The 26,724-nt window shown below is 46.5% G+C and overlaps 1 protein-coding gene across 9 annotated transcripts in view, besides 4 other annotated features; it reads left to right on the top strand.

Moving 5' to 3' along the window:
• The window catches only part of BRD4 (bromodomain containing 4), a 97,021-nt gene that overhangs the window by 27,865 nt on the left and 42,432 nt on the right, over positions 1-26,724 (top strand). For 2 of the 9 annotated variants that reach the window (NM_058243.3, NM_014299.3), the window contains exon 1: positions 24,224-24,411. The exons of the other annotated variants lie outside the window; for them this stretch is intronic. The gene's annotated coding sequence lies outside the window, so the exon portion shown is untranslated. Of the gene's footprint in view, positions 1-24,223; positions 24,412-26,724 lie in introns of those variants that run through there. 9 annotated transcript variants of the gene reach the window in all.
• Positions 4,030-4,737: an enhancer, noted in NCBI's record as "H3K27ac-H3K4me1 hESC enhancer chr19:15410749-15411456 (GRCh37/hg19 assembly coordinates)". NCBI's record gives its function as "activates a minimal SCP1, AML or CMV promoter by ChIP-STARR-seq in primed H9 embryonic stem cells {active_cell/tissue: H9 hESC(primed)}" and the evidence as "EXISTENCE:reporter gene assay evidence [ECO:0000049][PMID:30033119]".
• Positions 5,164-5,691: an enhancer, noted in NCBI's record as "H3K27ac-H3K4me1 hESC enhancer chr19:15409795-15410322 (GRCh37/hg19 assembly coordinates)". NCBI's record gives its function as "activates a minimal SCP1, AML or CMV promoter by ChIP-STARR-seq in primed H9 embryonic stem cells {active_cell/tissue: H9 hESC(primed)}" and the evidence as "EXISTENCE:reporter gene assay evidence [ECO:0000049][PMID:30033119]".
• Positions 11,278-11,337: an enhancer, noted in NCBI's record as "active region_14183". NCBI's record gives its function as "activates an Ori minimal core promoter by ATAC-STARR-seq in GM12878 lymphoblastoid cells {active_cell/tissue: GM12878}" and the evidence as "EXISTENCE:reporter gene assay evidence [ECO:0000049][PMID:35858748]".
• Positions 18,485-18,534: an enhancer, noted in NCBI's record as "active region_14182". NCBI's record gives its function as "activates an Ori minimal core promoter by ATAC-STARR-seq in GM12878 lymphoblastoid cells {active_cell/tissue: GM12878}" and the evidence as "EXISTENCE:reporter gene assay evidence [ECO:0000049][PMID:35858748]".

Genomic DNA, 26,724 nt, shown 5'->3' with positions numbered 1-26,724 from the left:
TTAAGTCCAACCTTCTTCCCTAAGCATGTGGACACTCAGGGAAAGTTGGCGCTTAACTGGGAAAGTTGTTGCTCGTACATTGTCTGCCAGCTTACTACAAGCATCATGGCCAGGCTGGGTTTGGCTGCTCAGCACATCCCCTGGCAGGGCACTGGCGGCCTGGAAAATGTATAGCAGGCAGGTGCTCAGTCAGTCCTAGAGCTGATTTCATGTGATATCTGATGCATTTATTATAGAAATGAAAGCATAAAAATGTGTTTTAACTGTTTCCTACTCCCCCGGCACAGTGACAAGGCTGATTCCAGGCACAGCTTGGTTAGGCCAGCACTTGTAACTATGGTGGGGAGCCTCGAGGCACTGAGTGAGCTCAGCCTCCTTGGGCAGAAAAGCTTGTTTAGTTATTGCCAGCACACACTGTGTGTTCCTGTGGGCAAACAAACAGACGGCTGGAGATCCGGGGGACCTGGTAGTCGTCAGCATTTATGTCACCACCGTATGCCTTCTCTGAATGACTTGCGGAAGAATAGAGTGGGTTGGGATTATGTGGTAAGTGTAAAAAAGTTAGCGATCAGAGGGACTTTGGGTTTACCTCTGGAGAGGACATAATGAAGGTAATCCTTCACTGTGACGGATGAGTGGATATTTCTTTGTACCCTGAGCTCTTTCATCCTACCTTGGTGGTCAAATGTGAGAGCAAGTGCTTTGGGGCTCAGAGGGCATCACTCCAAGCATTCTGCATGGAGTCTGTTGTGGTGAATGTTCTTGCTGGCATCTTGATCAAGGACTTTGTCATCATTAGCCATCAAATGCTTGTTGGTCCTTCTCAACCCTGTAATGTTGATACTTAAAAAACTGGAAACATCCTGACAGAAACAGTCGAGAAGTGGTTGTGTGAGCTCTGGTTATCGCATTACAGTTAAAGTTGGCAGATAGGTTCTGTATTCAGTGCCCCATCAAAAACAGAACACAGACTATATAAGGGGAATATTGTTTGTAAGTAACTCTGTGGGCTAATTGTGCAAATAGGTGCTAGAATGCTGGGCAGCCTTTTTCCTTCTTCGTGGCTTTGTTGCATTTTATTGTATTGTTGTATTGCATTTTATTGTAATGACAGTTACTCCTTTTGATAAGATGATCTCAGTAGATAGGCTGAATTGTCCTGTTTAAGGCTACTTTTCTCCTCTGAATCTAAAGGTGTTCGCTGTCAGAGCTAGTACGGAGTTTTGAATTTGGCACTGTGTTGCCTAACCGTCTTCTCCCCCCGCCCCATCCCCGCATAGGCAAATAGTTTTACTAGTTTGACATTTAATCAAAATTTAAACATGGGGCCAAGGAAGGTCCTCCAGGAAGCATTAGTATGAAAAATATTGTAAACAGTAGCTTTGTTCTAGCCACACAATTTGGATTTCTCAAGATTAACTGTCTGTACATAAACACTCTTGAATAGCTATGTATTAACTTTCCCCTACTTTGAGCTGGAAATAGCTTCTCTTCTCCAGTTGATGTGAATGCAGGGGTAGTGTACCCTACATGGACTGTGTATTACTCCTTTAAGATTGTTGGTCTTGCTGCTTTGTTCTCTCAGTGTAAAGCACAAGTCACAGAACCATGGTTTACCTTAACTAGAGCCCTCCTTTCAGAAAAGCACTTTTTTTTTTTTTTTTTTTGCGACGGAGTCTCGCTCTGTGGCCCAGGCTGGAGTGCAGTGGCGCGATCTCGGCTCACTGCAAGCTCCGCCTCCCGGGTTCACGCCATTCTCCTGCCTCGGCCTCTCAAGTAGCTGGGACTACAGGTGACCGCCACCACGCCTGGCTAATTTTTTTTGTATTTTTTAGTAGAGACGGGGTTTCACTGTTTTAGCCAGGATGGTCTCGATCTCCTAACCTCGTGATGCGCCCGCCTCGGCCTCCCAAAGTGCTGAGATTACAGGCGTGAACCACTGCGCCCGGCCCAGAAAAGCACTTTTTAATTTTTTAATCCTTTTTTTTTTTTTTTTTTTTTTTTTTGAGTCGGAGTCTTGCTCAGTTGTCCAGGCTGGAGTGCAGTGGCACGATCTCAGCTCACTGCAACTTCCGCCTCCTGGGCTCAAGCAATTCTCCTGCCTCAGCCTCCTGAGTTGCTGGAATTACAGGCATGTGCCACGATGCCTGGCTAATTTTTGCATTTTTAGTAGAGACAGGGTTTTGCCATGTTGGCCAGGCTGGCCTTGATCTGTTGACCTCGTGAGCCACCGTGCGTGGCCGAACTGCTCTGTTTTACAGACAGGAAACACAAGGCTGAGAACATCTGTTACTCAGAGTCCCCCAGGTTAGCATGGAAGCTCGTGGTTCAGACCAGGCTGTCCTTGCCTGCTGCACTTGCAGGTCTGTCTGCCTTCCCTGCAAAGCAGCATCTCCCAGTCCTGGGGGGTCTCTGTACCAGGTCTAAAGGGGGTCAGGGTGGTGTACTGCATGTGGTTTGTTTATTCTCTTAAGTTTATATGCAATAAAATTCCCCTTTTTTTTTTTTGAGATGAAGTCCCACTCTGTCTCCCAGACTGGAGGGCAGTGGCGTAATCTTGGCTCACTGCAACCTCTGCCTGCTGGGTTCAAGCAATTCTGGAGTCTCAACCTCTCAAGTAGCTGGAATTACAGGCCTGCGCCACCATGTCCAGCTGATTTTTGTATTTTTAGTGCAGATGGAGTTTTACCATGTTGGCCAGGCTGGTCTCAAACTCCTGACCTCAAATGATACTCCTGCCTCATCCTCCTAATGTGCTGGGACCATAGGCGTGAGACTCAGCAACTTTTTTTTTTTTTTTTTTTTTTTTCTTTGAGACGGAGTCTCGCTCTGTCGCCCAGGCTGGAGTGCAGTGGCACAGTCTTCGGCTTACTGCAACCTCTGCCTCCCAGGTTCACACCATTCTCCTGCCTCAGCCTCCTGAGTAGCTGGGACTACAGGCGCCCACCACCATGCCTGGCCAATTTTTTGTATTTTTAGTAGAGATGAGGTTTCACTGTGTTAGCCAGGATGGTCTCGATCTCCTGACCTCGTGATCTGTCCACCTCGGCTTCCCAAAGTGCTGGGATTACAGGCGTGAGTCACTGCACCCAGCCTTTTTTTTTTTTGTTTTGAGACGTAGTCTTGCTCTGTCGCCCAGGCTGGAGTGCAGTGTGGTGCGATCTCGGCTCACTGCAACCTCTGCCTCTCGGGTTCAAGTGATTCTCCTGCTTCAGCCTCCTGAGTACCTGGGATTACAGGTGCGCACCACCATGCCCGACTAATTTTTGTATTTTTAGTAGAGGCGGGGTTTCACCATGTTGGTCAGGCTGGTCTTGAACTCCTGACGTCGTGATTTGCCCGCCTTGGCCTCCCAAAGTGCTGGGATTACAGGCGTGAGCCACCGTGTCCGGCTCCTCAGCAACGATTGATCTGTTTTCTGTGTCTATGATTTTGCTTTTTCTAGAATGTCATATTAAATGGAAAATGGCATCATACAATGCAGGGGAGGTAGAGGTTGAGTCAGGCTTCTTTTCGTTAACATAGTTTATTAGAGTCATCTGACTACTTAGTGGGAGTGTTTCAGTTGTTTCTTTTCATTGCTGAGTAGTGTTTCATCATATGGATAGACCCCAGCTTTTTCTGCATTTCTCAGTTGAAGGACACGTGGATGGTTTCTAGTTTTTGGTGATTCTTAATGAAGCTGCTAAAGCTATTCACATGCAGTTCTTTGTGTGAACATGTTTTTCTTTCTTTTGGTTAAAGACCTGCAAGTGAGATGGCTGGGTCATTGGAATAAATACATGTTTAGCTTTACAGGAAACTCTCAGATGTTTCTGGAGGGTTGCATCATTTTTCGCCCTCATCAGCAGTGGATGAGAGTTTTAGTCGTTGCTCATCTTCACTAGCACTTGGTATTGTCAGGGTTTTAGGGGTGGGAAGCAGTGGATTCACATAGTCTTGCAGTGGTATCAGTGTGGCTGTGATTTGTATTTCTTCATGACTAGTGACGGGGAGCATCTTCCCAGGTGCATTTTCTTTCTTTTTTTTTTTGGTATATATTTATCTTTTTATTTTGTCTTACGGGTGATTGCCCTACCCCACACATGGTTTTGTTTGATTTTTTGTTTTTGTTTTTGTTAAGATGGAGTCTCCCACTATCACCCAGGCTGGAGTGCAGTGGCACGATCTCTGCTCACTGCAACCTCTGCTTCCCAGATTAAAGTGATTCTTCCACCTCAGCCTCCCAAGTAGCTGGGATTACAGGCACCCACCGCCACACCTGGCTTTTTGTATTTTTTTTTTTAGTGGAGACAGGGTTTCACCATGTTGGCCAGGCTGGTCTTGAACTCCTGACCTCAAGTGATTGGCCTGCTAAAGTGCTGGGATTACAGGGGTGAGCCACCACACCCAGCCGACACATAGGTTTTTATTTGTTTTTATTTATTTATCGGATCAGGGTCTTGCTCTGTCGCCCAGGCAGCAGTTGCAGTGGCTGTGACGTCTCACTGCAGCCTCTGCCTCCCGGGTTCAAGCGGTCCTCCCTCCTCAGCCACCAGAGTAGCTGGAACTACAGGCACACACCACCACACTCAGCTAATTTTAAAATTTTTTAGTAGAGGTGGAGTTTCACTATGTTGTCCAGTTGGTCTCCAGCTCCTGGGCTCAAGTGATCCTCTCACCTCAGCCTCCCAAAGTGCTGGGATTGCAGGCATGAATCACTGTGCCTGGCCAGGTGCAAACTCCAAGGGATTCTCTTTGTAGATGGAGAGGCAGCTCTTCATACGCTCTCTGTAGAACAGCAGTTCTGTGGAGCAGCAATTAAGTCGTGTTTTCCTCGTGAACCTTAACAGGCCTGGGTGGGTGAAGTGCAGAAGTGGGTGGCCACTTGCCGTAAGGACACATAGCACTGGAATGTTGAGCCCCACTCTCCTGAGTGAAGCCAGCTGGTTAATGCAGACTTGCCTTAGGGAAAAGGAAACAGAACGTCATACCAAGGAATCCACTCATGCTGGGCCACTGAAGGAACCATGGAAACATGTCCCTGTAAATGTGTCCCTGTTCTGTGTGTGTCTCTACATGTGTCCATATTGAGAGTTATGCTTGAAGCTGGGGATCACAAAATCGAAAATTGTGTCGACCAGCTTCTTAGCTGGGCTTGGCCATGGCGGGGATGTCCCAGGCCTTACCTGTCTTCTTCATTCACCCCCTACCCACCACCACCACCAAGGGACTCTTGAGTTGATTACTTTGCTGTGGGCATAGCATAGCAATCTGTGTGCGGAATGTGTGGAAGTGTGTCAGGCTTTGATGGGTAAAAGACTTTGATGGGTATATGAGCACATATATCATGAGAAAGGAATTGTGTGAGTTTCTGTGAAAGTTACAGAACTCTCCAGCAACCATTAGTCTTGGGGAATTCTTTTTAAAATGGCAGGGGTCATTCTGTTCATTCTCTATGTGATGGTCACTTCTCATAGAGTGATGGGGCCTTCTCCCTTAAGACAGACACGTGGATCAGGAATAGACAGGACTGACAAGAGCCCCTCTTCTTTCCCAGATGGAAGACACTGCCTATTTCTACAAAATGGGGGATACCTAGCCACCCCGGTGGGCAGCCATGATAGCTGAGCATGTTTGCTCCCCATGTGCCCACTTACTGCAAGTGTTTGTGGTGCCACCATGACTGGGGAAGGGCTCTGTGCCGGCAGAAGAGGGTTGTTGCTACACCTGGGGTGTGACCTGTAAAGGTGACACGATGTGCCAGCAGTTACCCAAATGCCAGAATCCTAGGAAATTATCCTGGGCTGCTTGGGGATGTCTTAGTGTGAGACCTGTTTTCTTTCTTTGGGTCTTAGGCGGAGTCGGATTGATATTTGAATGATTGGGCATTCTTTCTGTTAAGCTGATTTTCTGGTTGTGGGAAGTAGATTGTTATAATTTTGGCTTAGTTCAAAGTGTTAGGGAAGCTGTATAGAATTTCTTTCATCTCTTTTTCAGGGTGGGGTGAGGAGAGAAGGGATGTGACCACAAGCTTTTTTTTTTTTTTTTTTTTTTTTTTTTTTTTTTTTTTTTGAGTTGGAGTCTCGCCCTGTTGCCCAGGCTGGAGTGCAGTGATGCAATCTCTGCTCACTGCAACCGCTGCCCCCCGGGTTCAAGTGATTCTTCTGCTTCAGCCTCCTGAATAGCTGGGACTACAGGCGCCTGCCACCGTGCCGGGCTAATTTTTGTATTTTTAATAGATACTGGGCAGGCTGGTCTTGATCTCCTGAGCTCGTGATCTGCCCGCCTCAGCCTCCCAAAGTGCTGGGATTACAGGCGTGAGCCACCGTGCCCGGCCAACCACAAGCTTTTATATTAAGAATGCAAAGAAAGCATTTTGCATTTTTCTTGAAAGCCGTTGAGTTAACTACAGTCCTGTACATACTTAGCTAAGATTCAAGGCAAAAACAGGCCAAATATTCCATCAGTGCTTACGCTAAGTGTTTTTGTTTGTGGACCTCCACCCGTGTTTGTGCCTTTTGCAGAGCCCACCTTAATAAACTGTTGCTTATAATAAAGTCCAAATTTGGCTATGAGTCATTGGGCCTGCAGAGGCAGGCACAGAGGGATCTTTTCTCAGGATTGTTGGGTGCTGCTGTAACCCTTGTGAGGCAGGCCATCATCTTGTGCCTCATAGTGGCTCTCCCAACTGCAGATTCCACTGGTTGTAATAGAATCTCCTGTAATGCTTCCTTTTCTTTCATCTTGCAGGCAGGATTGCAGAAATGCTTGAGGTTGTGGATGGGCACACATGTAGGCAGCACTCTTTCACCGTGCTGCACCTGGTCCCTTGGGTTTCCTGGGCATGGTCCTTATATGCTGCCATTACCATTTCACCTGCAATTTTCCAGCTGGTTTCTGCCTCTTACATCATCTGCTGTGACGAAGGCTGGCTTCATACAGAGGAAGTGAGGACGCCTGGTTAGAGTCCACAGCTGTATTCCATTTGCCAGCAGGTGGGGCATCTCCCACTAAACCTGATCCCTGAGCAAAGGCATGTCCAAAAGCAGATGAGATGTCAACTTGCTGTGAAAGAGGCCCATTAGCTCTGTAAATACAGAGCGTATCTTAGTTCTTTGCACTTGTCCAGTAAACACTACAAAGGAATGTGTGGAAGTGCGTCAGGCTTTGATGGGTAAAAGACTTGAAAAGCAACCGCAGTACCCCAAGGCGATTTTAAAACTCTGTGAAGCCAGGGTTTGGGGGGGTTCGGTGGCAGTGGCTCAGTGCTTCTCTGTATCGTGTGTACGTTGTTTATTCAGGAAGGTAGGGAGCAGCAGTATAGTCCATCTGATGTTTTCTTAGCAGCGGCTCTCAAGTAGATTTAGGACTGCAGAAGGAGCAGCTTGGAAGGCTCTGCAGTCTGTGCAGCCTGGTCAACGGGAGGGCACAACTGGAGACCATGCCAGGCCTGGCTGCCATGCTATGTTGTGTCTTTTGTTAAGAATGTAGCTGAGGGCTAATGTAACTGAGGGCTACTGCTGTATCACATCCTGTGACTTTGTGTGTCAAAGGGGAAGGAACTTTTAAACGTCTATCTGTTAGAAGCTATGCTGGCTGCTTTTATGTATCTTTTGTTTACTCCTCACAGATACAAGGTAGATGTTACGAAATCCACCTAGAAGATGGACCTGGGGCTGAGGTGCCTGCCCAGGGGCAGGATCTGAACAAAGATCTTCTGGCTTTGAAGTATCTGTTTGTTTCATGTGGTGGCTGTTGGTGGGGGGGGCTTCTGCCGTCAGAGCCTACTCTCCATGAGAGGTGGGCAGAAAGGGTTATATGCCTAGAGAACCAGGGAGAAACAGTTGCTCTTCAGATTAGAGAAGTCTCTGTCAACACAACTCCTTTGTTAAGGGAATTTTCAGAGGATTTAGAGTAAGTTGATTTGTCTCCCTTTATGCCCCTGGATTTTCCAACTTAAAGCTCTGCCGCTGGACGGAGTGGTGCTTCAGAATCTCAGTGTGGCTGGACGGTCAGGAGACTGCACTTTGGGATGCTGCCTCACATCCAGATCCTTTTGGCTCCCTGTCCACTTCAGCGGCCATAGTTTACTCTCCGCGCCACTGCTCTCTAAAGACACACTGGCTGGTCTGCGGACATCATGTGCTAGCCTCTGCCTCAGGCTTTGGGCCTTGTGTGGCTGACCATCGTGGCTAATCTCTGGCTTTCTTCAAACACACATTGAGGCCTGTCAACCTGCGAAGCACTCACTAGATACTATCCATGCCAATATGCACTTGGAAGAAGGGGAACAAATGCGGCCACAGCATTACAGTGTGGTAGATGCTGTGGTTGCTTGTAATTGTGCATTACTGGTATATAAAGAAGCAGTTGATGTTTGTGTATCTCGCAGCCTTGCTTCTTATCCAGGAGTCTTCGGGATTCTTTTTTTTTTTATTTTGAGATGGAGTCTCGCTCTGTCGCCGGGCTGGAGTGCAGTGGCACGATCTTGGCTCACTGCAACCTCTCTCTCCCGGGTTCAAGCGATTCTCCTGCCTCAGCCTCCTGAGTAGCTGGGACTACAGGCGTGCGCCACCACCCCCAGCTAATTTTTGTATTTTTAGTAGAGACGGGATATCACCATGTTGGCCAGGATGGTCTTGATCTCCTGGCCTTGTGATGTGCCTGGCCGGAATTCTTTACCTAAACAATCATATCTGTGAACAAAGACAGTTTTTTTTGGAGACTGAGTTTCGCCTTTGTTGCCCAGGCTGGAGTGCAGTGGCACAATCTCAGCTCACTGCAACCTCCACTTGCCGGGTTCAAGCAGTTCTCCTGCCTCAGTCTTCCGAATAGCTGGGATTACAGGCGTGTGCCACTATGCCTGGCTAATTTTTGTATTTTTAGTAGAGACAGAGTTTCACTATGTTGGCCAGGCTGGTCTTGAACTCCTGACCTCAGGTGATCCACCTGCCTCGGCCTCCCAAAGTGCTGCGATTACAGGCGTGAGCCACCGCACGCAGCCCCCACAAAGGCAGTTTTATTTCTTCCTTCCCAATCTGTGCCTCTCTCATTTCCTTTTCTTGTCTTATTACATTAGTTCGGACTTGAAGTATGATTGAAAAAGAGTAGTAAGAATATGCTTGTCTTGTTCCAGATGCAGGGGGAAAGCATCTAGTTTCTCAGCATTAAGTAGATACCCTGTGATTGTGATAAGGCAAATTCTGGCCACAGCAACAGTTGGGAAAGCCACCCAAGGCAGGCTTGAAATTAGCAAAAATGGAGGACACACGGAAAGCCTTTTGAAGGAAAGATTTTAGCCAGATGGAGTGTCTTGGAGAACAAGGTATTCCCGGCAGAGAAAGCCTAGTGTATTGATAGAAGAAATCGAGGGTCAGGAGGCCACATGAGCTAGCAACAGCAAGTGCATCCGTGAGAGAGATGCGGGAACCTGTCTCTAGTCCCTGGGCTCTTGTTAGATGCCCAGTGCCATGAGGTGCTAGGGATACAGTATGCATAGACACCAGACACACACCGTGGCACCCCCAGGCTGCAGTGGGACATGGCACAGGTTTCTCCAGCAAGCTGGTTTTCTGGGATGGGCAGAGGTTCAACTTCAACAATATGGTTTGTTTTCTGGGCTGTTGCCCCCTTTTATGGAACCTTTTATTTAATAGCAGGCTAGGAAATTGTAAACAGCACAAAGTAGTAGTATGGTGTTGAGTGTTTAGACGGAAAACATTCATAGCTGAACTGTAGTTTTTATCTTCATTTTGGAGTTAGTCATGTTCTTTGGTCTCTGAATGGCCTTCTGGGCGTGGGGTCTGGGACAGCCTGCACACCTTTCAATATCCTTGACTGCCTGCTACTTCACTGCACAGGGCTCCAGATGCCCCTCACTGGCTGTCTGTGTCCCAGGCACCTTGGATGTTGGCCAGGCCCTAGGGACCCAGGCTCTGAGGAGATAGCGATTCTGTTCATTTTGGATTAGCCATGGCACCCAGCCATCATTTACAACATTCTTCCCTGGGAACCTGGCAGAGAAGTCCCAATGATTGGCTCGATGAACATTTGGAGCACGATCCTCTCCTGAGCTGTTGGCTGCCTGTGGTATATTGAGATTTCTGCAAAAACAGTGGGAAAGGGGAACAAAATTAGCCCTGGATTTCTGGGCCAGTTCTTTTAGTGTCATCCTCCCACACCTAACCTTCCAGGTGGCAAGATAACCAAGCTTCGCTTGAGTTCAGTGCTTGCTGCAAAAATCACATACCAACATTCCTCTTCTCATCCCCTTTTGGAGTGGAGAGGAAGCAAATGGGCCCATTCACATGAGGTGTTTCCACCTAGCTGGCAGACAGCATCTTGAGGGCTGGGTGCCTGTCGTCCAGATGTGTCCAGAGCAGCCACAGTCTCTCTCCTCTGCTGTGAACTGCACGTCCAGACCTTTATCAGTTACAGCTGCAGAAATGCAAGGGAACAAGAACATTTCGCCTTGGCGTTTATGTTTTGCTCAACACAGAAATGTTTAGTTTCAGAGTATGAGAAAATCATTACATTTGCGAAAACTCAGACTCATGGTATGTCCTAGCATGGTGCTCCATTTCTTAATTGTTCCTGATTGTGCTATCCAGGAGCCCCCAGCCCTCAGTCTACTCATTAGCCTACAAAAAGACACTTAGCGTTTTGGGGATTCCAGGGAATCGTATGCCAGGAAACGGTGAAGACCAAATATGTATTTCACAATATCACATGCTACAACTTGGATGAATCTTAAGACATTATGCTAAGAGAAAGAAGTCAGACACAAAAGGGCAAATATTGTGATTCAACTTACATGAGATACCAAAAATGGTCAAATACATACACAAAAAATAGTGGTTACCACGAGCAGGAGGATTAAGGAGTTACTGTTGAGTGGGTAGAGTTTCTTTTTGGAATGATGCAAAAGTTCCAGAGGAGGATAATGATGATGGTAGCACAACAGTGTAAATGTACTTAAAGCCACTGAATTGTACACCTAAAAATGGTTAAAATGGCGGATTTTAGGTTCTGTGTATTTTACAATAAACATTTAAAATATAGGTGTGCTTTACCCCTTCCGGGTCGCTAGCTTGGGGACACCTTACTATCAGTCATATCCACTAGAGACTAACGAGTGGTGCCTGCACGAGTCGGCTAAAGCTCTTACACTCTGCCATGGCGGTTAAATTTTTGGCTGATTTTTCTTTTGGCAAGAGGACATAGCTGTCTGCTTTCCTGCTATCGAGTTGCCAGCTGTTGCTTCCTGTCTTGTACCTTTAACTGCTACTCTCCTTTTAATGGTCTGCTTATGATCTGGTGTCCTGGGAACTGAGATAAGCCTGCCAGTGGCCTTACCCGGTGCCACCCTGCTGGGTCTACCCAGTGCCACCCTCCTAGGACTTCTGGTTTGGGCTCAGGTAGCCAGGAGCCCTTAAAACAACCACTCTAGTGTCTTTAACAAGCGAAACTGTATGGTTTCAGGCTTGTTTTTTAGCTTCGGTTTTTATATTGGCACCTGAGGTTCAGCTAATCTTTTTCTGAGTTAAAGATGAGCTTATTTATTTATTTTTTTCTTTCAGCCTGGATGTCACTGTTTTGAGTGGTGCTGCCATTGGCCTCCTTGAACTTTTAGCATCGACAGTAGTCGGCTGTTGTGGAGACACCCAGGTGTGCACTTGGTGTGGTCTGGCAGGAAGCACCCTTTCAGGGGCACTTAACTCCAAGAGGAGTTAAGAGAGTAGGACATTAACTACCAGCAGTGTGAGCAGAGTTACCCTCCTTCTGTTGCTGCAATCCTTTCACATCCGAAATTGTGAGACCTAAAACTAGACTTTTGGTTTGGGGATGTTTCAGGCTTTTCTTTTCTTTCTTTCTTTCTTTTTTTTTTTTTTTTTTTTTTTTTTTTTTTTTTTTTTGAGACGGAGTCTTGATCTGTCACCTAGGCTGGAGTGCAGTGGCACCATCTCAGCTCACTGCAAGCTCCGCCTCCCAGGTTTATACCATTCTCCTGCCTCAGCCTCCTCAGTAGCTGGGACTACAGGTGCCCGCCACCACGCCCAGCTAATTTTTTGTATTTTTAGTACAGACGGGGTTTCACCATGTTAGCCAAGATGGTCTCGATCTCCTGACCTCGTGATCCGCCCGCCTCGGCCTCCCAGAGTGTTGGGATTACAGGCGTGAGCCACTGCGCCCGGCCCAGGCTTTTCAACGAAACATCTACAGTTGTTTTCTCATTTGCTCACGATGCCCTATTAGGCAGGTAGTTTTCCCCGTAGTCCATTGTGTGGTCCAAATTAGTGCCAAGGGCTTCTGGGTCTAGCATTTCCAGCAGCAGAGGCAGACCCTTTGGGGTGTAGATAAGTCATCTGAGTCTGCAGCCGTAATTGAGTGTCATGAAGGCACCTCCAGATGGCTGTGAAATGAAGCTCTTTTGTTTTTGGCCTATGAGAGTTGTATAACTTCTGAGAATTCCAGGATACAGAGAACACCAGGGTGGGATCATTAAGTATGGTGGGATGTTGTGATAACTAGGGGGTCTCCTTTTGGCTTGCTTTCCCAATTAAAGGTGGAACATATTTGTAAAATGAAAAATGTGGCTTTGATTAGCTGAGTGGCTATCATTCAGCACTGCTTACAGTTTATTTAGGGAATCATTTTGTCACTACGTAGCAAAATAACTGGTATAGTGGAAGGAATTACCATCCTTTTGGCTGTAAGAATGTAAACCTAAGGATTGCTGACATCATAACCTGCCTGAAGGGTAGAGTCAAGGATGACTGAACCTTCGTTTGACTCAGGAAGATATACATAAGCTTCTTAAAATCAATGTCTAGGCAAAGTAGTACAGCATGCAAACCACTGAAGTCGTATGGGATTGCTTAATGAGCTGCTCTTTTACATATGTACATTAATTCTCAAAGGCATATTCAGTCGTTTTTCATTATCTTTAAAGATGATAGTATAAAGATGCTATCACCAAATGGAAGCTGTGGTTTTAAGTAAGCCACAAGCCCCTGTGTTCAAAATAGTTATATATCAGGGGAACCAGCTTTAGAGCAATTTGCACATAAATGAGATGTTCCAGTGGAGAATGTGTATTCTCTGGGTGGACTGTTATCCTGTTCAGTGCATAATACGGAGGCAATGAGAAGAGATTAGGAACCACAGAGCCTCACTTGTGAAAGTCATAAGGAGTAGGAATTTTTAAAGTGCCATCCCATCTGCCACCTACATTTCTTTTTTCCATAGGGTTTACCATCTCCTAATTTTAGTTGTTATTTTCATTCTTGATTGTCTATCTGTTCCTGTGAACCCACAAGGGCAGATGTCTTTGTGTTGAATCTCCTGAGCCCACAGTCTCCCAAGAGATGTAGTAGGATGAGTCAGAACTCCCAGTATTTTCACCTAAACCAGGAAAATTTCAAATGATGGGGATACTGAGTCATCCCCAGGCACCTGCTGTTTGGCTAGCCTCAACTAGGAGCTGATTTGCAGTCTGTTCTTCACCTTAACACCATCTCCTTATAGGCCTACTCCAGGAGCAGGGCATAACAAGTCAGGAGCAGGCCCAGTAGACACATGTTAGGAACAGGATCGGGGTGGTGGTGGTGGGTGATAAGCAATGGTCAGGTCACAGTTACCATAACCCATTGACTTGGGGGTTTTGCAGGGTCTGAAGTGCCATCATACCCACTTCTTTCCATCTGGGACCAGTAAAAAAAATACCATATGCGTCTTTAATGCAATAGAGTTTTTTCTTTTCTTTTTCATTTATGAAGAACGCTTTTTAAAACCTCTCAAATGTTTCCTTGGGTTGAAATCAAATTTATAATAGCCTGTATATCATCCCCTAGAGATAGCAAAACCAACTCATGAGGGAGCCTGTGTTTATGAGGGAAGAGGGGGTACACTTAGGTTTTCGTACATATGGGTATGAGATGGAACACACTGGAAACATGAAAACTGCAGGCTTAGATGAGAAGCGGGTGTATATGTTGTGAGCTTTACCATCTGAGGCAGAGTCCCAGCCTGGCCAGATTAGCTGTTTGCCTAGAGCATCTTTCTAGGGGTTGGTGTTCTGTATGTTGAAATGAATGAAATTGCTTCCCCAGGGCTGGAACACATCTGTTTGGGTGGTGTTCTAGGTGTATACTTGCACCCATTTATTATTAAAGGGGTGGTTTGAGTTTGTACTGGATTTGATGAGAGTTTTTCTTTTTCAGTACTCGTGATGCATTTCTTCACCTGAAAGTATAATGCATTTTGATTTCTATGGCAACCAGTGAACGCCAAGGGAACAAATTCTATTTCTGTTTTCTAACGTAACAGGATTAGTGGAGGCGCATCAAAAATTCCATTCTAAGTCAGTGCTGCGTCTTGAAGAGAATTGAAATGGTCTAGTACTAACTTTTTAACATTGACTTTGAATACACTTTTAATAATCCACATGTCAGTCAGCTTACTCTTGGTGTTAAATGTCACTCGAGCAGGAGGAGGCCTCGATGGGAGCTTCTTTTTAATCTCCAATGGATCCTCAGTGAAGTCCTTAGGGATTTCATTTTCTGGGTTTCAGAAGTACACACACCTGTCATTAGGGCTTCATATGCCTAGCGTGTGACCCCCTGCCCTACCCTTAAGCCTAAGGCAGTCATATGGTTTTTAATGTGTCTATCCTGCCTTGAAACCAAACCTCTCCAAGAACTAAAACAAAAATGTGAATTACTCCTTGCCCTTCAGGCTGCTTCGTTGGAAAGCCTTCCCTCACTTGAGCCCCTTGCTGAGAGCCCTGTAGCACCCTGTGAAGTGGCCCCGTTTTCCTTCCTGTCTATGCAGGCAGGGACCTGGCTGTGGGTGGTGCCCCGTGGGCAGAACCCAGAGGCTGGGGGGCTCCAGTGTCCTTACAAGCACACTTCTCCCATTGCTTGTGAGCCACATCTTTCCTAGCTTCCATTCTCCTGGTTTCATCAGATCTATTAGGATGGTGCAAAAGTAACTGCTGTTTTGGCTTTTTTTTTTCTTTTTTTTTTTGGATCAAAACCGCAATTACTTTTGCACTAACCTAGCTACCTTGAGAGTGGTTTTGAGTGGGAAGTAATACCCATCTATTTTCTGATTTATTTTATTTATTTATTTATTTATTTTAAGATGGAGTTTCGCTCTTGTTGCCCAGGCTGGAGTGCAGTGGCGCGATCTCGGCTCATCGCAACCTCCGCCTCCAGGGTTCAAGTGATTCTCATGCCTCAGCCTCCTGAGTAGCTGGGATTACAGACATGTGCCACCATGCCCGGCCAATTTTATATTTTTAGTAGAGACGGGGTTTCTCCATGTTGGTCAGGTTGGTCCCGAACTCCTGACCTCAGGTGATCCACCCGCCTCGGCCTCCCAAAGTGCTGGGATTATAGGCGTGAGCCACCGCACCCAGCTGTTTTCTGATTTTAAGTAGCTAAGGAGTCTGGCTTTCTGCTGGAATCATTTGGAAAGGTCGTGGGAGAAACATCTCAAGCCTGCCTAGGTTGTCTCTTTAGGGCCTGGCCTCTGGCTTAGGGCACTAGTTGTCAGAACCCAGAAAACAGAGCTATGGGGCCTGTGTCGGGGAGTGGGGTTACTAAACAAAGGTATTTTGAGGTAAAAGACGTGAAGCATTTCTAACGTGGTTCTGTAGTTTGCTTTCCCTAGGTTGTTATGGACCAAGAGACTGTAGCTGACTTTGTTTAACTCTCATGTTCAGGAGTGGAGGAGGGGACTTGAGTATTAACAGCCGCCTTGACACAGTGGGGACCTGGTGGCTGTGGAAGCCTGAGGAGTCGGTGCCTGCTCCTCTGAACTTTCCCTCCCCTCAGCAGATGGTACTGTTGCGTGTTCTCTCTGGTGCCAGTGAAAGAGCTCATTCATGCCATTCACAGAGTAGTGTGCTTAGAACTCAGCCCTCCTCCATCTGCAGGGGCAGGCACCCGCCACGGCTTAGTGGCCACCCTCGGGCGTTGACTTCCTCCCTTCGGCGGCCCTGTGTGTCTGCTGGGCAGTGCACCAGCCTGTGTAGCACCAGCTGCTCGGCTGCTTTGGTAAAAACAAGGGAAGACTGTGAAGCTGTTCTGTGCTCTGCACACCAGCAGGAGAAGCCAGCGGAGGGTGTGGATGGGCTTAGGGCAGTGTCTGCAGTTCCGGATGAATTCTGCCTGTGCCTTATAAACATCTTCTGGGAAGGAGCTGATTTTTGATGGGTGATTGTCCAAGTTTATAACTGGATCCTGTGTTTCACTCCTCTTCTTCTATTTATTTTTATTTATTATTTTTTGAGATGTGGTCTTGCTCTGTCACCAGTCTGGAGGGCAGATCATAGCTCACTGCAGCCTGAAACTCCTGGCTTCAAGCGATCCTTCCCAGCCACCCATAAATCCTTTTAATAAGTTGCAGATGTGATATTACCTCTGTGTACTTCAGCAAACATTTCTTAAGGGCATTCTCTTTGAAAGCAGGGACTGAAACATGTATTTGTACGCCCATGTTCATAGCAGCCCTATACACAGTAGCCAAAAGGTATTATAGAAGCAACCTGTGTCCATTGATGGATGGATAGATAGGCAAAATATGAAGTATTAATCAGCCTTAAGAAGGAATGAAATTCAGGCCAGGTACAGTGGCTCACACCTGTAATCCCAGCACTTTGGGAGGCCGAGGTGGGCAGATCATCTAAGTCAGGAGTTTGAGATCAGCCTGACCAAGTTGGTGAAACCCAGTCCCTACTAAAAATACAGAAATTAGCCAGACGTGGTGGCACGTGTCTGTAGTCCCAGCTACTCGGGAGGCTGAGGCACAAGAATCGCCGAACCCAGGAGGTGGAGGTTGCAATGAGCCTAGATCGTACCACTGCACTCCAGCTTGGGCGACAAAGGGAGACTGTCTCAAAAAAAAAAAAGAAATTCAGAGGTGCTACAATGTGGATGAACCTAGAAGACGTTATGCCAAGTGAAATACGACAACCACAAAAAGACAAATACTTTGTGGTTTCACTCACGCTGGGTACCTATAGGAGTCACTTCCACAGAGACAGAAAGTAGAATGGTGGTTGCCAGAGGCAGGGATTGGGAGTTAGTGTTTAGTGGATATATGGGTTACAGAGTTTGTTTTACAAGGTGAAAGCGTTCTGAAACGCCCAGTTGTGGTGGCTCATCTGTAGTCCCAGCACTTTGGGAGACTGAGGCAGGAATATTGCTTGAGCCCAGGAGTTTGAGACCAGCCTGAGCAACATAGCAAGACCCCATCTTTAAAGAAAATAAATACATAAATTAAAAAGTTCTGGAGCTAGATAGTGATTGCATAGTAGCGTGAATGCACTTAATGTCACCAAACTATACAGTAAAAAATGGTTAAAGTGGTAAGTTTTATGTTACATATATTTTACCATAATAAAAATAAGATTATTAAAGTTTTTACTGTGTCTTAAAAAAAAAAAGAATAAAGGCACTGTCCTCTAAAACCGCATAAACATTTTTTTGCATACAGGAAACTCAACAATGATTGTATCCTGTGTTGAGATTTCCCATATGTTTCCCCCATTCACACAGGTGATGTGTTAATACTAATGCTATGTTAATGTTTTCTTTTAAATAGATATATTTTAGTTGAGCAGGTTGATTTAAAGCACAGGTGGATCTGTGGGTGATAAAAGTGGTAGGTGTGGAAACTGACTGGGGTCTAACCAGCCTGAATGTGTAGTATTCCCCATCCCTGTGGCCCCAGAGCAGAGTTCCTAAAATGCCTGCCCTTGGCCTCCTAGCCAGTGAAACCTCTTAGATTTTCACAGTGAGGTCAGCACTAACCCCACGTGGCTCTTGAGCATCAAAAAATGTGGCTAGTGCTACCGAGGAAATGAATTTTTACTTTAATCAAATTCTAATTAATTTTCAAAGCTGATGCTCAGTTTAGTTAGTGAAAAACATCCAGATATGTTGGGGACACCTCGGGTATGTGAATCTACTTTTTCAGCTGCAAGTTTTATGGAATCTAAATACAGATCACATATTTTGGGTGAAAATTTAGCACCTGAATTGTGCTGTGACTGTGGGGCATGCACACTTAGATTTCACAGATTTAGTAAGGAAAAAAATGTTACACGTTTATATGTCGAAATGGTATTTTGGGTAAGCATACCTGCTTTCTCTGTTAATGTGGCTCCTAGAAATTTTAAAATGGCATGAGTAGCCACATTGTATTTCTGTTGGACATGCGCAGATGTGCAAGTATGGAGTTTCACTTCCTCCGTGCAGCAGCCACCTTCCTCTCCCATGCCCTCCACCTGATGTCCCTATTACTTCCCTGTCTCTGCTGCTGAAGTCTCTTTCTCGTCTTCTGTGCTAATAAGGCCTCCAGCCTGTGAGTACCACGGTGCCTGATTATGGTCTTGCTGCAGCACTGTGTTGGCTCCTCCATGTTAGGCCGGTGCAGGGGAGGGGCTATGCTCCTTTTCTCATCTGCTCGGGGTGGAGGGGACTGGACTGATTTGTGTTACTGGATACCTGAGGAAAGACCTTTGTCCCCCTTTGTCTGGCTTTTGGCCTTAGGTCCATAGGACAGAGGCGTGGGAAGAATTGGTGGGAGGGTATTGGGACTTAGGAGAGGGTAATGGGGCACCTCCTTGAGGTGGCTCCCTCCCTGGACGAGGCAAGCCTAGCATGGCATCTGGGAGAACCTGGGAATAACTTAGGGAGCTAGGGAAGGCCAGTGGGTCTCATGCTGCCAGCATGTTGCTCTCTGGCTCTCCTCACACACGCCTCCTAAAGCAGTTACTAAACTCAGAGTGGGCACCATCCTAACTAAGCCAGGTGTCTCTCCTGCTGTGCTTCGTGCCCCCACCCACCCCTGGCCATTTAAGTCCTCCTTAAAGTATTTTTTCCCTTTAGTTCCTGATTGATAACTATGTTGATGGTATTTCAGGGAGTTGGGAAAAACAAATGTAAAAAGTAGTAATAAAAATTAGCCAAAGTTTTATGTTATCTTGCCATCTCTTTTCTACTCAGGGATGTGCACTTTTTAAAATTTTTTCATTCTGTATGCTAGACCCTAGTCTAAGGCTTTATTTATGTGTGATGCACCTTATTTCTACATCCTTAGATTTTTTTTTCTTTTTTTGAGATGGGGTCTCACTCTGTCACCCAAGTTGGAGTGCAGTGGTGTGATTTCGGCTCACAGCAACCTCTGTCTCCCAGGCTCAAGCGATCCTCCCTCCTTGGCCTCCCAAGTAGCTGGAGCTGGGCAGAGTAGCTGGGACCACAGGCGTGCACCACCAAGCCTGGCTAATCTTTTGTATTTTTGGTAGAGACACGGTTTTGCCATGTTGCCCAGGCTGGGCCTGAACTCCTGAACTTAATCAGATTTTTAGTAGAAAGGTGGTGAGGCGTTCCTAGGGACTGCCACAGGTTCCATACGAGTGTGATAGTCGCTGCCCTGGGTTTTGGTTTCTATTGGTCTGAAAATTCCTTACCAGTTAAGTGGCTGTTACTCCTCAGTGGACTCAGAGGACAAGCTGGCCACATCTGCAGGGGAGTGAACTTAGGTTGTGTGATGGACTCTTGAGTCTGCAAGATGCCAACTTGGCTGCATCCAAGGCTCCCTTGTGGCACAGCACCCAGGGCTGCTCTGTGAGTGGCTGCTGCCTGCAGGGGCTGGAGAGAGGAGGAAGGGTGTGCACAGTGAGGAGATGAGGCATGCTCTGTGTCTTTTCTCTCCAGCACCTCCATGTACTCGCCTGTCAGTGTAAGAGTTGGGCTGCTTGACTTCTGTGGGTTATTTACTTTGTGGAAGTTAGGTGGAATTAGGGGCAAACAAGAACATGGTTCTCACAAAGTGATTATGCCTGCCAAGTTTTTTGCTTCCTTAGCTGTAGTCGTCTGAAGTGGTGTGGGTTTCATTTTATTCTGCTCCTTTATATTCTGAAAGTTACTGAGATGAGAGGGTGACAGCTATTTACTTCCAAGCATCCCTCTCCAGCAGATTCAGTTCAGTTGTCTGGACAGAAGTAGACACTGAATGTGTGTGGAGGGCCTCCCAGCAGTGCATGGAATGGGTTATCTGGGTGGCTTGCTTTTACCTGAGGGAAGAGAAGCTTGAAAGTGAAGTTAATGTTGCCTGGAAGGTGGGGACCCCTTGGCCTGTTTACCTAGGACGGCATTGACCATCAAAGGCTTCTGTAAAGTTGTAAGAATGGCCTTTTGTGTACCCTTGGGGGTGTGTATCAGATATAAATCCAGCACTTGAGACACTGTCAGCTCTCACTGACTGGTCATCTTTGGGTCTTGGGTCAGTCTTCAGTTCCTGCTTTGTCAGCCAGGGACTTGGGGTCTTTGGAAGCTGGAAGCTCTGACGTTAATTTAGTGTCACATTCTGCGTTCCCTTTTCTTCAAGAAAAGTGATGCCGTTCCTCCTCCTGATCCCCATAGATTGGATTCTGTACCTAATGAGTGGTGAGGGCAAGATGAGAAGAAAAGTCTTCTTGTCTGAAGCCATTTCTTGAGCGTGTCTAGATACTGACAGGTGTAACGTTTTTTCCAGATCTTTCTCTTAAAATCACAATGAAGTGCCCAGGGTAATATCATTGAAGAAAAGATCATCCCATTAACGTCAGCTCTTCATCGAGATACCCAGGCTTTGATACCTCTGGACCCTGAGTCATTGTGTGCTATTGCCTTTCATGCATGTGTCTGTTCCTGGCTCCATCTCTCCTCGTGCCCATCAAAGGTCTAGTTTGGCTTTCCCACCCAGCAAGGGCTCTTGCTAGTCATGGCTAAAATGTTGCTGGTGGGGGTGTTGGGTCATGGTGTCTCTGAAAGCACTTGTGCCAGCCCTGTTCCCTTTTGTGTCCCCAGTGAGTGTGGGCAGGTTCCAGGGACACCTTGAGTCAGCCGCTGCTCTGCTGCTTTGAGAAGAAACTTAAGAGGCGTGATACACTCTTGCTTACTCACCCGGGCGGCTTCCCAGTGGGTGAAATTAGAGCAGTTGATTGGAATGTCACCATTCCCACTCGTGGATCTGTTTCAAGAGTTCAGTGTTGTTTCCACTTACACATAACAGGACTGTGTGTTAAGCTGGTGTGTTTTGGAACATTTCAGCCACAGGCATTGTGGTCATGAACCATGCAGATTGTTGTTTGCATTTCACTCATCTCTCTCTTGGCTTCCCAAATTCCCAAAGGGCGTGATCTTGACCACTCACATAGAAGCTGTCATAACATGTTTCCCTGGTGTTTGGTATATAGGAAATTTTTATAGTTTTAAATTTAAATGAGGATTATAAGCTTAGTTTTTATGCTTTTGTTTGCAATGGGAAAATTTCAGAAGACCGGTGTGATGTCATCCGGAGAAATTTTCTGATTGACACCAGGGGCAGCCCAGGAGTGTATTATCAGCTGAGTTTAACTAAACCTGTCTTTCACTCTTAAACTTTCTTCTCATTTTAATTCTTCGTGCCCTCTAAGAAGTGAACTTCCTCTCCCACTCTTGCTGTCTTTGTAGTCTTTCATTCTCCAAGTGTGTCCCCCGTATTTCCTTCCTCCTAGGAAACACCCCTCTTAAGCAGAGCAAAGTGCCCAGCTCACTGCCAGCCCCTACTTTGTGATCTGCATTGCTCCCTGGCCATCTTGGAGTCTCTCTCAAAGCAGGGTTTTAATCCATAAATTCACAGTCATGTCACATTGCGTTTCATAATTTAATTATTTAATTTATTATTATTTTTAAAGACAGAGTCTTACTCTGTCGCCTAGGCTGGAGTGCAGTGACATGATCATAGCTTAACTGCTGTAGCCTTGCTGAGCTCAAGCAATGCTCCCACCTGAGCCTCCTAAGAGCTGGGACTGTGTGTGTCAGCACTTCCAGCTGTGTTTCATATTATGGTGTGGATGAATCTCAGTGCCACATACCCCACAGCTCTGTTGAAAAAGATGAATAGCTGAAAAGGTGTAAAGTGAAGACAGGTAAAGGAGATGGGGAAATGGCTTTAAAGGAGTCAACAAGGAGAAAATGCCACTCTTAACTGTGAAGGGCACAGCTGAGTCAGTGGGAATGCATAGCTTGAATTAATGACATTTCTATCATAATCTTTCAGCCTGTAATTTGGCCAGGTGTAGTGCCTGAAGGGCCAACTTACCAGGTAGAAGTGGACAGACACCAAGAGGCCAGTATGGGCTTGTCAAAGGGGATAGATTGCATAGAGGCTGAGTAGTTTTTACATGTGTGGCCGAGTGGTTGGTTGGTTTTCAGTGTAAGTAGGTGTTGTCATCCACACACCTGCCACCACCTCTGGCTTCATTCTGTGGGTCTTTGTGCCCACCCACCTGGCATTGTTACCTAATTTCATCTGTAATTTTGCATCCTGCATTTCTGATGTAACATCACATTCTCTTACCTTCACAAAGTCTAGAAATCTATGGAATGGGCTGCAAACTATGGCCTGCAGGCCAGTCAGTTTTTTTGGCACACAGTGAGGCTCATTTGTTTCAGGATTATTTGTGGCTGCTTTCATTTTATGATGATGGCAGAATGGAATATTTTAACAGGCTGTTTGTCCTGCACAGCTGACAATATTTGCTCTCTGGCCCTTTACAGGAAAAGTTAGCCTAGCCTGCCCCTGCTGGAATACATTTTAACCCAACAGTTTTTGTTTGTTTGTTTGTTTGTTTGTTTTGGAGATGGAGTCTCGCTCTGTTGCCCAGGCTGGAGTGCAGTGGCACAATCTCGGCTCACTGCAACCTCTGCCTCCCAAGTTCAAGCAATTATCCTGCCTCAGCCTCCTGAGTAGCTGGGACTACAGGTGCACGCCGCCATGCCTGGCTAATTTTTTGTATATTAGTAGAGATAGGGTTTCACTGTGTTGCCCATGGTGGTCTTGAACTCCTGAACTCAGGCAATCCACCCGCCTCGGCCTCCCAAAGTGTTGAGATTATAGACGTAAGCCACCATGCCTGGCCAACCCAACAGTTTTGATCTTGTCCATGTCAAAGTTTTGTTTTTGCTACATGCTTCTCACAGGAACATTTTACATTTCATGAATCCATCCGCCCAGATTTAACAATCAGCAACATGATGTAACCCACATGTAACAATGGATCCTTTCACTGTACCTGAGCCACTTGTCCCTCCAGTTGCTGGCAGCTTTTGCAGTGAAAAGATGCTGCAGCATTTTCAGTGCTACTAGTTTAATTAGCCTGCTGATGAGTTTCAAAAGCAGAGAGACTGGAATTCTGGTTGGTGAGATTGTGTCCCGCCCAGTTTCCTGGCCTCCTGACTGCAAGATCCTTGTGTGCCTGTGTCCCCTCCAGTGGGGAACAGAGAGCTTGAGTGTGGCTCACACTCTCCCCTAGCAGCAAGGCCAGTATATCTCTGCCTTGGCTTGTCTAATCCAAGGCAAGTTGCAGGGTCTGGGGTACTGCAGAGTCAAGAGGTAATGGGGCCCCACCACTTGGCTGGTCCAAGGGGTGGGGGGCAGGGTGTATACACACTGCGTGAAGGAGGATTAAGGCCTCTAAGAGCTGCCTCGGCGCACGGCCACTGGCCCGGCTCCAGGCGGCGCAGTCTGGCTGATGACACGAGCGCTGTTCTCACCAGCTGCCTGAGCCAGTCAGATGGAAAAGTAATCCTATTTGTGCTTCCCCACTGACACAGATTGCACAATTAAAGAAGCCGCTGTCAGGAATTTGAAGTAGATGCCACTCTAGCACCTAGGAGGGGAACAGACCTTCTGATATTGATGTTGTGTAATCAGCATTTCAGCAAAGATGTTTCTAGGACAAGATAAGATGTAAATTGCTGTAAATTGAATTGTATTGAGAAATTACCAGGTTTTTACCAGTCAGGGTCCCTCATCCTCTTGTTTTTGTCCCTGGGCAGAATCTAGCATTCCCTGAAAATAATTGTTTATTCAAGAGCCTTGGAGCGGTGGAGAGGTGACCTCCTCTACCTGAAGGGTATGTGTGACTGTGAACTTGTGATTTCATGAGGGGCTGTAGTCAGTTGGCATTGGCTGGCAGTCTGTATGGAATAAAACAAATTTAAGCCATGTCCCCTCAGGCATCTTACTGCTTGGGAAGCATAAATAACAACTTGGTGTCCCTTCCCCTTGCCCCCACACCTCATGACTTCAGCACAGTGGTATGTTTTAGATTTCACCTATGACACGGGATATATCTCATTGTAAGCAGATGGCCAGGTGCTGCAGGGAGAGGTCTTGGCTCTGATTTGTTTACGAGGATGAAATTCTTTGGAATACTACTGCTAGAAGTCTGACTTAAGACCCAGCTTATGGGCCACATGGCACCCAGCTGCTTCTGCAGAGAAGGCAGGCCACTGATGGGTACAGCAAAGTGTGGTGCTGCTGGCCAAGCCAAAGACCCGTGTAGGATGACTGGGCCTCTGCCCCTTGTGGGTGTTGCCACTGTGCTTGGTGAGTGGAGACAGCTGTGGAGCAGAGGACTTGAAGCACACACTGTTCCAAATGACGTCCAGCCAACCAGGCCACCATCCACTCTGCCTCTGTCCCCATGGGGATGATGATGAAGATGATAAAGTCGCAGCCTGCTTTTTAGGGTTGTTGTGTGGATAACTAAGCCAATACAGATGAAGTGCTCGATAACAGCATCAGCTCAAGAAGTGGCAGGTACCTCCTGTGGAGCTCTTCTAGGCCCTGGTGCAGGTCTGTGTGATGATGGCTTGCATAAAGCTCTGCTAAGTGTGGTTTAACCAGCCATCGTCTTGGCGACTGCTTCTGCCTTCCCTGGCGTCTTTCTACCTGTGTGCTCCATCACTTTAGGAGAGGGGTGAGTCTGAACAGACCAGACAGAATGAAGGCAGGATTACTGGGTTTCAAGAGGTCCGCTGGGAGGCCAGGACTTCAGGTAGAACTGCAAATACAAAGTATAGCTGGTCCCAACCCATTGGTTTTCTCAGTGACTTGTGATGGACGGAACTGGGAACTGAATCTCCAGCAATCAGCAGATTCTGGGCAGTTGTTTGTGGTCTTTCTCTTTTCCTCTCTGGCTTGCCTTTAGAGTCCCAGAACTAAGCCTGCCCTGCATGTCTGTATCTATCTATATCCTGCTTTCTAATCTCCTTTCCTGGTCTGGGAACAGGTTGCTTGGGGCCAGACTGCTTTGTGATGAGTGGGTTCAGAACAAAGCCTGTCTGGAGACCCTGAAAGCCCCTTTGAAGGATAGGAGCTAATTGGGACGGGCGATGGAGAGAACTATGACTTGATGGAGGATACCAGTGAAGAGGGCTTGCTGCCATCCACTTTGCAAGTAGGGACTCCATCATTGCAGAAAGTGTTCAAACTTTCTGAGCTGGTTTTGGATTTTTTGTTTTCTATATCTTTTGTTAGATTTCTAATTTGTCTGAACTATTGACTAGATTGTAAATAAAGTTAGTCCAAGGAAACAGTTTGTTTCCTGTTCAGAGTTATAAAACATTACAGTTGTGTTCTCTGTTAAGTACTGTCTATCCCTAATATTTTCCCAAAATTCACTTAAATATTATGATTGCAAAGAACATCTTTGAAAACAGGCATGCTTAGCCGGGTGCGGTGGCTCACGCCTGTAATCCCAGCACTTTGGGCGGCCGAAGTGGGCGGATCATCTGATGTTGGGAGTTTGAGACCAGCCTGACCAACATGGAGAAACCCCATCTCTACTAAAAATACAAAATTAGCCAGGCGTGCAGGCGCATGCTTGTAATACCAGCTACTCAGGAGGCTGAGGCCGGAGAATTGCTGGAACCTGGGAGGCGGAGGTTACAGTGAGTCGAGATCACGCTATTGCACTCCAGCCTGGGCAACAAGAGCAAAACTCCGTCTCAAAAAAGAAAAGAAAACAGGCATGCTTAATCAGAGGTCTATGAATTTAGAGGGAAAATTTACATTTTTATTTTCATTAACCCAGAAGTTCCCAAATTTTCTTGGTTCACAACATCCTTAAACGTCTCAGTTTTTTCTGTGATGCCTCAGGCCAGAGGAAGTAGCCAACAATATTGTTTATTAGGTGGTTAAGCACAAGCAGCAGAATAAGTACCAATGTCTCAACAACTGTGTAGCTGTCTGAAAAAAAAAAACAGGAATATATATTTTATTCTTACATAACCATAGTTATTTCTTTTTTTTTTTTTTTTTTTTTGGCGGGGGTTGGGCAGAGTCTTGCTTTGTTGCCCAGGCTGGAGTACAGTGGCACAATCTCTGCTCACTGCAACCTCCACCTCCCGGGTTCAAGTGATTCTCCTGTCTCAGCCTCTGGAGTAGCTGGATTACAAGCATGCGCCACCATACCTGGCTGATTTTTCTGTATTTTTAGTAGAGATGGGGTTTCACCAGATTGGCAGGCTGGTCTGCAACTCCTGACCTCAAGTGATCTGCCTACCTCGTTTTCCCAGAGTGCTGGGATTACAGGTGTGGCCCGCCATGCCTGGCCCATAGTTACTTTCTAATAGGATGTGTCTGCCTGTTGGATGCTGCACAAATCCTCAAACCTTAGAACCAGGTTGGATGTCACTACCTGCATCTCCTGTTGATGTTGATTTTGATTTTTTTTTTTTTTTTTTTTTTTTTTTTTTTTTTTGAGACGGAGTCTTGCTCTGTCTCCCAGGCTGGAATGCAGTTGTGCTATCTTGGCTCACTGCAGGCTCCACCTCCCAGGTTCACACCATGCTCCTGCCTCAGCCTCCCAAGTAGCTGGGACTACAGGCGCCCGCTGCCATGCCTGGCTAATTTTTT

The sequence above is a fragment of the Homo sapiens genome, chromosome 19, assembly GCF_000001405.40.
Source record: "Homo sapiens chromosome 19, GRCh38.p14 Primary Assembly".
Lineage (NCBI taxonomy): Eukaryota > Metazoa > Chordata > Mammalia > Primates > Hominidae > Homo > Homo sapiens.
This window is presented reverse-complemented; position numbering and strand designations above follow the sequence as displayed.